Here is a 14,301-nt window from a genome sequence, read left to right as displayed (position 1 = left end):
TGTGAAACAGCAAAGATAGTGGCTTGCCCCTCCCCCTGGGAGCTCCATGTCAAGGAGGTGCAATGCTGCTACCAATGGCTTGCTAAACTCCTATGCCAGTGTTATTCTGTGGGTTTCTATAGAAGCAGGGCTTTCAGCCTGTTGCTGCTCAGCTTCCTGAATTAAGCCCCTTTCCTAGGGGTGTGTATGAAGTTCTAACCTCCAGCTTTGCTGGAGCTGCAGTAACCTTTCCTGGGAAGCCCAGGTATCTAAGATTCCTGGGCCTCTTCATGTGCCTGAGTGTCTGCTCTGCTGAGACGCCACATAACTTTGTGTGTCAGATGGAAGGCCCTGGTGGAGTGGGCTCTTGAGGTGTCCTTAGGATTGCAAAGATCCATGGAAGAAATGTGGGTCCCCAGGTTTGTTCACTCACTCACTACTTCCCTGGGCTGTGGAGGCTCCCTTGGCTCTGTGTCACTTTTGGGTGGATGGATGCCCTGCTTTGATTTTCTCTGTTGTCTGTGGGTCAAGCTGTTTCCTTGTTGAGTCCCAGTGTGCATACCTGGATGTTTCCATTGAAGGTGCTGCATTTACTTCCCCTTATATTTCTCTGTATGAGAGTGGCACACACTAGCTGCTTCTAGTCAGCCATCTTGGCCAACCCCTTCAGGTATTTCTTTATAGCAATGCAAGAATGGCCTAATACAGAAAATCAGACTGGGGGTGGGGTATTGTTATAAAGATACCTGAAAATGTGGAAGCAGCTTTGGAAGTGGGTAACAGGCAAAGGCTGGAAGAGTTTGGAGGGCTCAGGAGAAGATAAGGGAAAGTTTGGAACTTCTTAGAGACTGGATAAATGGTTGTAAATAAAATGCTGATAGTGATATGGACAGTGAAGCCTAGTCTGAAGGGGTCTCCAGTGGAAATGAGGAACTTATTAGGAACAAGAGCAAAGGTCATGCATGTTATGCCTTAGCAAAGAAATTGGCTACATTCTGTTCATGTCCTAAGTATTGTGGAAAATTTTTCTTCAAAGTGATGATTTAGGGTATCTGATGGAAGAAATTTCTAAGCAACAAGTGTTCGTGAAGTAGCCTGGCTGCTTTTAGGGGCCTATCTCAGATGTAGCAGCAACGAAATGACTTTATGTTAAAATTTATATTTAAAGAAAATCAGAATGTGAAAGTTTGGAAAATTTGCAGATGTGGCAGAGAAAGAAAATATTTTTAGGAGAGAAATACGAGCAAGCTGTGAAGCAACCACTTGCTACAGATATTTGCATAACTAAACAGGAGTCAAGTGCTACTATCCAATACAATGGAGGAAAAGGCTTTGAAGGCATTTCAGAGAACTTTACAGCAGAGGCTACTGTCACAGGCCCAGAGGCCTAAGAGGAAAGAATAGCTTCATGGGACAGGCCCAGTTCCTGCTGCCATGTGCAGCCTCAAGACAATGCTGCCTACATTCCAGCCTCTCCAGCTCCAGCCATTGCTTAAAAGGGCTCAGGTACAGGTTCTGCTTCCACTATGGATAACACAAGCTGTAAGCCTTGGCATCTTCAACATGATGTTAAGCCTTTAAGTGCACAGAATGAGCATGAAGAATGCTTAGCAACCTCCGCCTAGATTTCAGAAGATGTATGAGAAAGTTTGGGTGCCCAGGTAGAAGCATCCAACACAGAAGAAAGATGAAGGCCAGAAGATTCAGCAAGTCTCTTCATTCCACTTTCTTCTGCCTGTTTTATTCAAGCCAGGCTGGCAGCTGATTAGATGTTGCCCACCCTGATTGAGGGTGGGTCTGCCTCTCCCATTCCACTGACTCAAATGTTAATCTCCTTTGACAACACCTTCACAGACACACCTAGAAGCAATACTTTGCGTCCTTCAATCTAATCAAGTTGACAATATTAACCATCAAACTTTACATTCTATTTTCCTTTTACTCCTCAGGGTATATTTTTAAAAATAACTTGTCTTCAAGTTTACAGATTATTTTTTCTGCCTCATCAATTCTGCTGTTGATGCTTCTTCTTGCATTTTCCCTTTAATTATTATATTTTTTACTTCTAGGATTTCTGTTTGGTTTTTAAAATCATATCAATTTCAGTTTTAAATTTCTCATTTGGCTCACTTATTATTTTCCTCATTTTATTGAATTGTTTCTCTGTATTTTCTTAATGTTTGCTGAGCTTTCTTAAAACAATTATTTTGAATTTTTTGTTAGGTCATTTATATATCTCCATTTTGTTAGGGTCAGTTACTGCCATTTTATTTTGTTGGTTTGTTGATGTCAAATTTCCTGATTATTTTTGATACTTCTGGCCATGAGTAATAAGCACATTGTAGGAAATACATACTCATTCCAGTCTTCACAAACTGGGTTTGTCTAGGAATATATATTTTTGAACAGTAAACCTATCCAGTGATTCTTTGCAGGCTGTCTAACGTATTTCTTAAGCCCAGGGCTGCTGCAACTAACATGGTGCTGAGCTGCAATCTTATGACTCTTGAGGCTGGCATGAAGCTCTGTCATGCCCAGAGTTTACAAGTCCAAGGTTATTTAGGCCTGCTTGCCACTGAAAGTTTTCTGGAGCGCAAGATTACTGTAGTCAGCCGGCAGTAATGCAGATGCAAACCAAGTTTACCTCAAAGGTCCTATAGGTTCCTGCCTAGTTTTGGGGCAGGTCTGGAGGCTCAGTCTACGGGTACCAGCTTAGAATCAAGGCTTGTGGGGGTCTGTGCAGTGCTGGGTTTAAATAAGGCAGCCTTGGTGTTAGAGTCCAAAGCAAAATTCTGCTTTCAGTTCCCTTTCTTTCCTTCAATTGGATAGTATCTCATTTCATTGTACTTATTACAATGCCTGGCTCTTGATAAATTTTCAGCATATTTAGTTATCACTATCAGGAATAGTAAGAACAACTATAATATTACCTTATGGTATTATTGATATTATTGATTTTTATTTGAGAATAAGTTTAGCCTAACAGGAGTAAGGATTATTCCCCAAGTTAGTTCATTTCATGGGGTTCTGAAAGATAACTAATTAATGATATATGCAACCATTAAGATGCTAGTTATAACAAGATGCCACCTGGTGTAACAATTTAAACATAGTTTTTAAACATATAATCTGATACCATTATCTGAAACCAAAAATTTATGTGAAAAAAGGCAGAATAATGATACTATTATCATTGTGTTATGGTGATTTTTTTTTCTTCTTTTCTCAATGTCAAAATTTTTCTATGGGTTTATTTGCAATTGAGCTATAATTCTGATTCTGTTGCTTACTAATTCTAACATCTTAGTAAGTTATTTATTATTTTCGAACCCTGAATTTAATAATTTAAAAGTTAAAATAATAATAGCAATTCTCTCATAAAATTGTTTTGAGTAGTAGATAACGAAATGCCCATTAAAACTTAGTATAACAGTTGGTGCATAGTTTATGCTCAAGATATATTTTTTTAATAATAAATCTTCAGTAATGGAGAAGGGTTTTGAAGTAAAATAACATATTAATATTTTAAATAATATACAATTAAATAAATTTATTTAATTGGTTTAGTTTTAAACTTATAAGCTCATTCATTCAACAAGTATTTACTATCCATTATTTTCTAGCATGATTTGACGTGCTGGCAGTTTTAAAAACAGGCAAAAACTTTGTCCTCATGAATATTAGATTCCTATTAAGTTGATTTTGATGTACAAAAATAAATATAATTAAATGTATTGCTTACAAAACCAAGCATCAGTGAACATGTGCAGCTGTGGAAAGTATATTGGGTATGAGAGTTTTCCTTCTTCTCCTCAGGAACGTTATGCTTTAGGTGTCAGCCTCAGCAGGTCATGGAAGGGTGATGTATGATATACATCTGAAAAATGTCAAAAACATGTGTCTGGGATGCTGACATATTTCTACTGGCTAGAAGCCCTTTAACAATACTTAACTCTCATGAATAAAACCATTTCTAGGTAATTCAAAATCTTTGTGACTCTCCTTCTAAAATTTTGTTTAAGCAAGGTATTATCACTATCAGGAGAAGGAGAAAAAAGACATAATCAATACACAAGAACAAAGAATAATGAATCAAAGGTGGCACAAAAGGGTGAGAGGAGCTCAAATTAGAAGGAGCATGACAGCTGCCAAGCCTAAAAAGGGAAGGGCAAAGATCTACATTTATGAGTTTTTTTAAAAAACCCATCAGACAAACTAATTAAAACTACAAATTTTAATTGGAGTTAATTGGATTGGGTAGTTTAATAAAAGGAGTGGGAAAAAAAAGTCCGTCACTCTTTTCCCTGCTATCAAGCATACTAATGGATGATGAAGCAGAGGCTGTTAATCAAGGCAAAACATTCATTCCCTCATTGAATCCTAGAATGTTGGGGCCGATGGGTGTTTTACATCAAACATCTAACACCATCATTTGATGGATGAGGATGTTAAGAACAAGGACTGATAAGCTTCATGCCCAAGGTCACCCACAGTGGCAATCCAGGGAAAAGAGTTGTCTCCAGTCTCCTTATAAAAATTTTTCCAAGCACACTCTGTTATAGCTAATGCCTCATGCCATCTGAGGAATAAGTAGAAGAGATTTTCCGGTCAAGGCTATTTAGAAACCAGGTAATTAGGTATATTGAGAAATAACTGTTTTGATCAAGGAATCCATACAATTAAAACAGCAGTTTGAGTGTTCCTTATAGATATTGTGAATGAGAAACAGAGAGAAAAGAAATGAAGAAGAGATCAATGAAGCTGCTTTTGATTGCAAAAGCTAATGTGAGGTCCAGCTTGCTTAGAACCCTAAGTTGACCTCAAATTCTTCCGCTCTCCATGAAGGACGTTTTCTGCTGAATTGTATAATGACTGTTTAACAAAGCCCTTTTACCTCTCTCTTTTGGTTTAAAAAAGAAATAATTATTTTGACAAAGACATTAATGAAGTTCGGTGGAGGAAATAAAAGTCTTTTTAATAAGTAGCACTGAAACTACTAGATGTTCCTTGGGAAAAAAATTGATCTTTGACACCTACCTCACATCATATACAAAAATTAATTTAAGATAGATCATAGATATAAATGGGAGAGTGGGAGGAAACATAGGAAGATGTCCTTGTGACCTTAGCATGGGTGAAGATATTAAGCAATGTCAAAAGACAAAATTATAGCAAATTTAGTTTAAAGATCCAATTGGATTTTATTTGTAATTATAGCACTGGGTAATGACTCATTCTAAAAAGCAGAAGATAGAATGAGTGTTTCAATGATCTGAGCAGGAGACATTAGTTTTATAGGCAGAAAAGGGCTTAAGCAAGCAGAAACAGAAGAAAATGTAGATTGGTCATTTTAAAGTTATTTTCCTTGCAAAGGTTAACGCAGAGAGGACTTCCTTATTATGCTGGCTAACACTGATCTGTTTGGAGATTTGGCTATTATCTCTTAACTTGATGGATTTCTTGGAAGGTCAGATAAATAATTTAGTTTTGGCTTGGTGGCATGGTACTTTAGCATGAGTAACTCCACCTTGGTTTATTTGGTCTGTCGGATCTAGTGCAGGGGCTCAGTCAGATCCAACAGCCTGCTATGCATTTTATTTAACAGCATAAAAAGAAAAAAAGAAGAAGAAATGATAGCTTGAACTTTATCAAATTAAAAGCTACTGCTTATCAAAAAATACCACTAAGTAAGAGAAAAGGAAAACTATAGACAGGGGAAAAATATTTATAATTTATTTAAAAATACCTGCATCTGACAAGGGACTCATAGACTGAAAATACATAGAACTCCTACAGATCAGCAAGGAAGATACATCATCTCCATAGCCCATAGCAGACTTGAACAGATACTTCAAAAAGAAAGTATACGAATGAACATTTAGTGTATGAAAAAAGTGCTGAATAATATTACTCATAGGAGAAGTGTAAATTAAAACTGCTCTTCCATCATAATGACTAAAAATTAAAACACACAGAAACAAAACTAATGATATTGAATATTAGTAAATGTGTAGAGCAACAAAATTGTACTTATAACTCTTTAAAAGTAAAATAAGTCTTAACATTTGAAAAACTTCCAGGAAGTTTCTAATAAACTAAATATACACCTACCCTATGACCCAGCCATTCTATTGTTAGATATATATCTAAGAGAAAAATGCTCGTATGTTCACCAAAAAATTTGTACAAAATGTTTATATTAGCTTTAATTGCAATAGCCCTAAAATGAAAACAACCTAAATGTTTATAAACAAGTGAATGGATAAACAGTGATATATTCCTACAGTGAGATACTACACAGTAATACAAAAGAAAAAAACCACAATATGGATAAATAATAAAAACATTATTTTGAGCAAAATAAATCAGACACAAAAGAGTACTTAGCTATATGTTTTTATTTTAATTTTAGTTTCAAGAATAGGAAAAAAATATTCTATGGGGAAATTAGAATAGTGACTCCCTCTGGCTGGCTGAGAAGGAGGTCATATTGACTTTGATGGACAAAAAAGAAGTTTTTATTTTAATTTTAGTTTCAAGAATAGGAAAAAAATATTCTATGGGGAAATTAGAATAGTGACTCCCTCTGGCTGGCTGAGAAGGAGGTCATATTGACTTTGATGGACAAAAAAGAAGTTTCTGGGAGATTGACTAAGTAATGATCACATGGTGCATACATAGATACAAATTCATAGAACAATATGCAGAGCAATACACAGAGCAGACTTTTGTAATAGACTATATATAAATTACTTCTACATTTAAAAATAATTAAAAAGAAAGAACAAATCAGGTTGAAAATTTGAAACGGTGTAGAATTTTGGCCTCCCCCCTCAATCCAGAACTATTAATGGCTGAAACCTTTTCCCGCTCTCACTTCTCCCTCTCCCTCTCCTTCTCTCTCTCTTCTTCTCCTCTACTCCCTTCCCCATGACTTCTCTTTCCTTTCCCCTTATCCCTCCTTATAAGGTGCTTATATAATTAAGGTATTTTTTTCCCCACTGGCTGAATCCAATTTATGAGAAGAGGGTGACCAAAAAGAGAGTCATCCTAGGCAGGATAACCATATAACTTATTGTCTAGACCAGGACACTTCTAAGAATAAAGAATGTAAGAATGCTCTCTCTCTCTCAATCTCTCTCTCTCTCTCTATGTGTGTGTATGTGCATATATATATATAAAATTTTATTAAAATAATTAAAATAATTTATATATTTATTAATATTTAACATTTATGTTATAATAAATTATATATTTATTACATAAATTATAAGTTATAACTTAACATACAATATGTAAGTTATAAATAACTTACATATCTATTAAAATAGTTAAAATTAAATTAGTGTTGAACACAATGAAAGCAATTTGGAAAGTAATATTACTTCCAAATCGCTTTCATTTGTGTTCAAAACTATTTTCAAAAGTAAAGATATGCCATGTGCAGTGGCTCACACCTGTAATCCCTTTGGGAGGCACTTTGGGAGGCCAAGGCGGGCAGATCACTTGAGGTCAGGAGTTCAAGACCAGCCTGGCCAACATGGTGAAACCCCGTCTTTACCAAAAAATACAAAAATTAGCCAGGCATGGTGGAACATACCTGTAGTTCTAGCTACTTGGGAGGCTGAGGTGGGAGAATTGCTTTGACCTGGGAGGTGGAGGCTGCAGTGAGCTGAGATCATGCCACTGTGCTCCAGCCTGGGCAACAGAGTGAGACCCTGTTTCAAAAAAAAAAAAAGTAAGGATGCAAAACAGTTAAAAATAAGATAGATCTTTGAATGTTAAATCAAATACATAAACAGCAACCCAACCATTTATTGTGTTGATTGAGCATTAAAAATTGCATAAGCATAATAATTTTTCTTAATATATTTTTACATACTTTAATCAGTTTCTTGCTTACATTTAATACTGTGTCATGGATATTTATCTGAAAAGTATATTTTAATAGTCTTATTAAAGTTTTAGTAAGATTGCCTACAATCTTCTGGCTAGGAAATTTGAAAGTGCTGACACCTTCAATTAATGCTTACTCTTTTAATCATACCTTTAATGTAAAAAAAATCTCTCTACCCTGTGCAAAGGTGCATGGCTCAGAGCATGTTATTCTAAATGAAGTGTATTGTCAATTCTAACTTTTATTTTGTGAAGTGTGTAAATGTTTCAGCCAAACATTTTTACTGTACTCTTATTATAACAATTCATAGTGCTTCTCTTTTTTACATACTTTTATAAGACAAACTCATTCAATTAGTGGTCTCTACTATTATTTTGCATACTTAATCAAAATTACATATTGTAACATAGTAGGCCTTCTAGTTTCATTACAGTTTGGCACAGAATATAAATACAGTGTATATACAATTGAAATTAAGATCACTATCAAAAGACTTTCGCCAAAACACAAGATCTTTCCAAGTGCCATTGTAAAATTTAAAAATTATATTAGTGCACAATTTGCATCCTTATTGTTTGATTTGTTTAGTTTCTTGTTTCTATAATGTTCTTTTATTGTTTTGGTGATTCATTGTTGAATATTTTGATTAAAATTTTCAAAACGATTTTTTAAAAGATTAAATTTTTGGAGGACTTTTTTTACAATAAAGCTAAATAATATCAAGCATTTCAGGTTTATTTACAAGATAGTTCTTAAAAGGCTCCTATTGATAAAGGACAGTATAGAGAGCAGTTATGGTCTGCCATCTTAAAGCATTGTTTTAGTATTTAACATAAAATTTATCTCAAAAGTGTTGTAGTTTTTCACTTTGTACATCTTTCTTTCTGGATATGTGTATATACACACACATATGCATTGGTAAATATATGCAATTACAACTTTAATTAGTAGAATAACAGTTTAATACACATGTAAATTATATTATTAGTACAATTAATTTCAATTATATTTCTGTCCTAAAATTCTCTACACACCTTGTTTGTCATCATAACATTATGGTCTACCAAAATTTCTATTCATATTATCACCACAATAACATTTTTTTAATTTTGAACTTTTAAGTTAAATTTATATTAAAAGTAATGTCAGATGCTTCATCTTTTAGAGAACAAACACCAAAATGCTTTACTTTGATTCCATGAATGGGTTGAAATTATTGAAATATTATTGTACCTACATGACTTTCTATTTAAAGTTGATATAAAAGTTTAATCATTTAAAACTGTTTGTAAAATTCTTTTTTTTTCTACTAATGGAGCGAATGCATTAGCTACTCCTTGAATTTTGTATATGCCCAAAAGAACTTGGAATTGAAAATGAGCAAATTTAATTTTGAAGAATAGTAATGCAATCTAACTGAACAGTCATGCTTCACATAGTGATATATAGCATGCAATTTACATATCACAAACTTACATTACATAAACTTGCTGATGATAAGTTGTCATCTTTGTGTACATTTTTTCTGACTAACTTTTGAAGGTGACAGAGATACCCCAACAGATTTATGTTTTTCTCTGGTCACTAATACCACCCTGGTCTCCATGATGGATTGTAAATATTGACACAAAACTTGTGCAAGTGTCAACTTTTGTGAGAAAATGAAATTCTGTACCTAAAATTTTGTACAAATATCTTTTTATTGTTAACACGTTGTTGCCAAAGGGGTTATTACAAAATAAATATAAATGTTACAAAATAATAAAATAGTTTTAGATTTATACCATTATATGTGACAAAACCATTGTAGCAAGAATATTCTGAGTACTCTCTATCTAATCTATGGCAGGATTTCTCAGCCTGTATTTCACACATGTTTCATGTATAATCCAGTTATAATATTTATTGATTTGTACTAACCCTACCGACTGGTAATCTGGTGGATATAAACATTTTGAATGCCGTAGTACAGTAAAATTGGCTACCTCGTCTAGTGGCAGGCATAACAGAATCAAAAAGTAATCCACTACTACCTCAAAGTGAAGAGTTAGTTCTCCAAGGCTGCTTTAGTCTGAGGTCACTTTGTTTTATGAATGAGTATCCTATATAGTGTCCTTGAAATTGAACTCCTTGAAAATTTAAGAAAGAACCAGAAAGGGGTCATCACAGGTCATATTTCAGATTTATTCTCCTATTACAGTGAGTATTCTGTTAACTGCCCATCTGTTTTAGACACTACGGGGAGAAATCTCGGCAGATGCTGGGAGCACAAAGCAAAGGTCTACCAAACCTATTCCAGCATTCTTTAATACACTTGTTAATAATAAAACTTCATTAAAAAAATGGACAGATGTTTAACTATGTAGGAGGCCAGACACATCCATGGATACAGTTCTGGGTAAACTGGAATGTATGGTTACTTTACTTACTTTTAGTTTTAGTCTCACTTGGAAGGTTATCATCTTTAGACTTTTTTGTGACTATAGTGAGCCAAAGAGGACAGAAATAAAAGCATAGCTGCCGGTAGCCACGATGGCCTAAGAGAGGCAGCTGTTGTCTGCCTGGCTCTCACGGAGAACAAAAACATGAGTGAATTCTACATCTTTAATTGAGGTATCCAGGTTCTAGCATGGGAACTGACTACATGATCGGTGTGATCCATGGAGAGTGAGGAAAAGCAGGGTGGAGTGATGGCCCACCCAGGAGCAACACGGTACCAGATGGGCCCCTACACCCACCTAAGGGAGGTGGTGAGTAATTGTGTGACCCTGCCCAGGAATCCATGCTTTTCCCATGAATTTGTGCAACCCGCGGATCAGGAGACCCTCTCGTGAGCCCATGCCACCAGGGCCTTAGGCCTGCAGCACAGAGCTGTGTGGAGTCTCAGCAGCCACTCAGGCCGGCACAAAGTCCCAGGAGTTTTTGCATTCCCCAGCCTCGGAAATAATAGTGAGACAGGAGATCCTCTCTTCATTCCCCTAGGAAGGGGCTGAAGCTAGGGAGACAAGCAGTGTCCTTCTGCGAGCCCCACTCCCACAGCACCTCACAAGTTATGACCCACTGGCTTGGAATATCAGCTGGCCAGCAGCACCAGACTGGAGACTGCCTGAGATAACTGAGTTCCTGGGGGGATGAGTGGCTGCCATCTCTGCAGCTCCAGTTCACCATTTTGGCCTGCCATCTCTGGGGAGTCTGGGAATTCCCCACAGCACAGCACAGCACAGCTGCTGTGACAGATCGTGGCCAGACTGCTTCTTTAAGTGGGACCCTGATCCATCCCTCCTCACTGGGTAGTTCCTCCCTGTGGTAATTTCAGCAACTCCGACTTGGGTTTTACGGACAGAACGCTGATCTCTCCCTGAGACAGAGCCACCAGGGGGATGGGTGGCCACCATATCGGCAGATCAGCTGGCAGCCTTTCCTGCCTGCTGGCTCTGGAAAGTCCTGGAAATCTGGTTGAGGAGGGTTCCTGCCAGTGCAGAACACTCATGTTGGCAAGGGGCAGGCAGACTGCTTCTTTAAGTGAGTCCCTGATCCTGTTTCTCCTGACTGGGTGAGACCTCCCAACAGGGGTCTCCAGACACCTCCTACAGGAACATTTGGACTGGCATCAGGTCAGTGCTCACCTGGAACGGAACTCCCAAGTAAGGAGCAGGCTGTTTTGCAGCCTTCACTGGTGAGACCTCCAGGTGTGGGAAAGTCTGAGCAAACTAAAGTCTGGAGTGGACCCCCAGCAAACTGTAGCAGCCCTATGGAAGAGAGGCCCCACTCTTAAAAGAAAAACAAACAGAAAACAACAACAACAAGATCAACAAAAAAAGAACCCACAAAAACCCCATTCAAAGGTCAGCAACCTCAATAACCAAAGGTAGATAAGCCCACAAAGATGAGAAAGAATCAATCCAAAAATGCTGAAAACTCTTAAAATGCCAGAGTGCCTCTTCTCCTCTAAATGATCACAACACCTCCCCAGCAAGGACACAGAACTGGGTGGAGGCTGAAATTGATGAATTGACAGAAGTAGGCTTCAGAAGGTGGGTAATAGCAAAATTCACAGAGCTAAAGGAACATATTCTAGCCCAATGCAAAGAAGCTAAGAATCATAATAAAAGATTACAGGAGCTGATTACCAGAATCGCCAGTTTAGAAAGAAACATAAATGGCCTGCTGGAGCTGAAAAACACAAAATGAGAACATCACAATGAAATCACAAGTATCAATAGCCACATAGACCAAGTGGAGGAAAGAATCTCAGAGCTTAAGACTATCTTTCTGAAATAAGACAGGAAGACAATAATTGAGAAAAAAGAATGAAAGGGAACAAACAAAACCTTCGAGAACTATGAGATTATGTAAAAAGACTGAACCTATGACTGATTGGGGTACCTAAAAGAGACAGGAAGAATGGAACCATGTTGGAAAACATACTTCAGGATATCATCCAGGAGAACTTCCCCAACCTAGCAAGACAGGTCAACATTCAAATTCAGGAAATACAGAGAACCCCAGTAACATACTCCATGAGAAGATCAACCCCAAGACACATAATCGTCAGATTATCCAAGGTTGAAATACAATAACAAATATTAAGTGCAGTCAGAGAGAAAGGCCAGGTTACCTGCAAAGGGAAGCCCATCAGACTAACAGCAGATCTCTCAGCGGAAACCCTATGAACCAGAAAAGATTGGGGGCCAATAGTCAGCATTCTTGAAGAAAAGAATTTCCTATCCAGAATTTAATATGTGGCCAAATTAAGCTTCATAAGCTAAGGAGAAATAAAATCCTTTTTGGAAAAGCAAATGGAGAGGGAATTTGTCAACACCAGGCCTGCCTTGCAAGAGCTCCTGAAGGAAGCACTAATTATGAAAAGGAAAAACTGTTACTAGCCTCTACAAAAACACACTGAAGTACTCAGACCAGTGACACTACGAAGCAACTCCATAAACCATTCTGCAAAATAGCCAGCTAGCATCATGATGACAGGATCAAATTCACACATAAAAATATTAATCTTAAATATAAATGGGCTAAATGCCTTAATTAAAAGACACAGAATGGCAAGCTGGATAAAGAGTCCAGATCCATTGGTGTGTGGTAAGAGACACATCTCACATACAAAGACAAATGTAGGCTCAAATTAAAGGCATGGAGGAAAATTTACTAAGCAAATGGAAAACAGGAAAATGCAGGGGTTGCAATCCTAGTATTTGATAAAACAGACTATAAACCAACAAAAACCAAAAAAGACAAAAAAGGAGATTACATAATTGTAAAGGGCGCAATTCAACAAGAAGAGCTAACTCTTCTAAATATATATGCAACCAATACAGGAGCACCCAGATTCATAAAGCATGTTCTTAGAGATTTACAAAAAGACTTTGACTCCCACACTGTAATAGTGGGAGACTTTAACACCCCACTGACAATATTAGACAAATCATCAAGACAGAAAATTAACAAAGATATTCAGAACCTGAACTCAGCTCTGGATCAAGTGGACCTGGTAGATATCTACAGAATTCTCCACTCAAAAACAACAGAATATACATTCTTCTCATCACTACATGACATTTACTCAAGAATTATCACATAATTGGAAGTAAAACACTCCTTAGCAAATGCCAAAAAAAACCCCTGAATTTATAACAAACAGTATCTCAGATCGCAGCACAATCAAATTAGAACTCAAGATTAAGAAACATACCTAAAACCACACAAACACATGGAAATTGAACAACCTGCTCCTGACTCTTGGGTAAATAATGAAATTAAGGCAGAAATCAAGAAGTTATTTGAAACTAATGAGAACAAAGAGACAACATACCGGAATCTCTGGGGCGCAGCTAAAGCAGTGTTAAGAAGGACATTTATAGCACTAAATGCCCACATCAAAAAGCTAGAAAGATCTCAAAAAGCTAGAAAGATCTCAAATGGATGATCTGACATCGCAACTAAAAGAACTAGAGAGCCAAGAGCAAACAAACCCCAAAGCTAGCAGAAGACAAGAAATACCCAGATCAGAGTAGAACTGAAGAAGATGGAGACACGAAAAACCCTTCAAAATATCAACAAATCCAAGAGCTGGATTTTTGAAATAATTAATAAAGTAGATTGACCACTAGCCAGTCTAATAAAGAAAGGAGAGAAGAATCAAACACATACAATCAGAAATGATGAGAGGGATATCACCACTGACCCCACAGAAATACAAACAACCATCAGAAAATACTATAAACACCACTATGCAAATAAACTAGAAAATCTAGAAGAAATTGATAAATTCCTAGACACATACACTCTCCTAAGACTGAGCCAGAAAGGAGTTGAACCCCTAAATAGACCAATAACAAGTTCTGAAATTGAGGCAGTAATAAATAGCCTCCCAACCAAAGAACCCCAGGACCAGACAGAATTATAGCTGATTT

The 14,301-nt window shown here is 36.8% G+C and overlaps 1 long non-coding RNA gene across 7 annotated transcripts in view, besides 1 other annotated feature; it reads right to left on the bottom strand.

Annotated features, from left to right (window-relative positions):
• LOC102723370 (uncharacterized) overlaps positions 1–14,301 on the bottom strand; it is a 366,694-nt gene that overhangs the window by 52,862 nt on the left and 299,531 nt on the right. The gene's annotated exons all lie outside the window — the stretch shown is intronic.
• Positions 981–1,617: an enhancer, noted in NCBI's record as "OCT4-NANOG hESC enhancer chr11:22086967-22087603 (GRCh37/hg19 assembly coordinates)". NCBI's record gives its function as "activates a minimal SCP1, AML or CMV promoter by ChIP-STARR-seq in naive H9 embryonic stem cells {active_cell/tissue: H9 hESC(naive)}" and the evidence as "EXISTENCE:reporter gene assay evidence [ECO:0000049][PMID:30033119]".

Source organism: Homo sapiens, chromosome 11, assembly GCF_000001405.40.
Source record: "Homo sapiens chromosome 11, GRCh38.p14 Primary Assembly".
In the NCBI taxonomy this organism is placed as follows: domain Eukaryota; kingdom Metazoa; phylum Chordata; class Mammalia; order Primates; family Hominidae; genus Homo; species Homo sapiens.
This window is presented reverse-complemented; position numbering and strand designations above follow the sequence as displayed.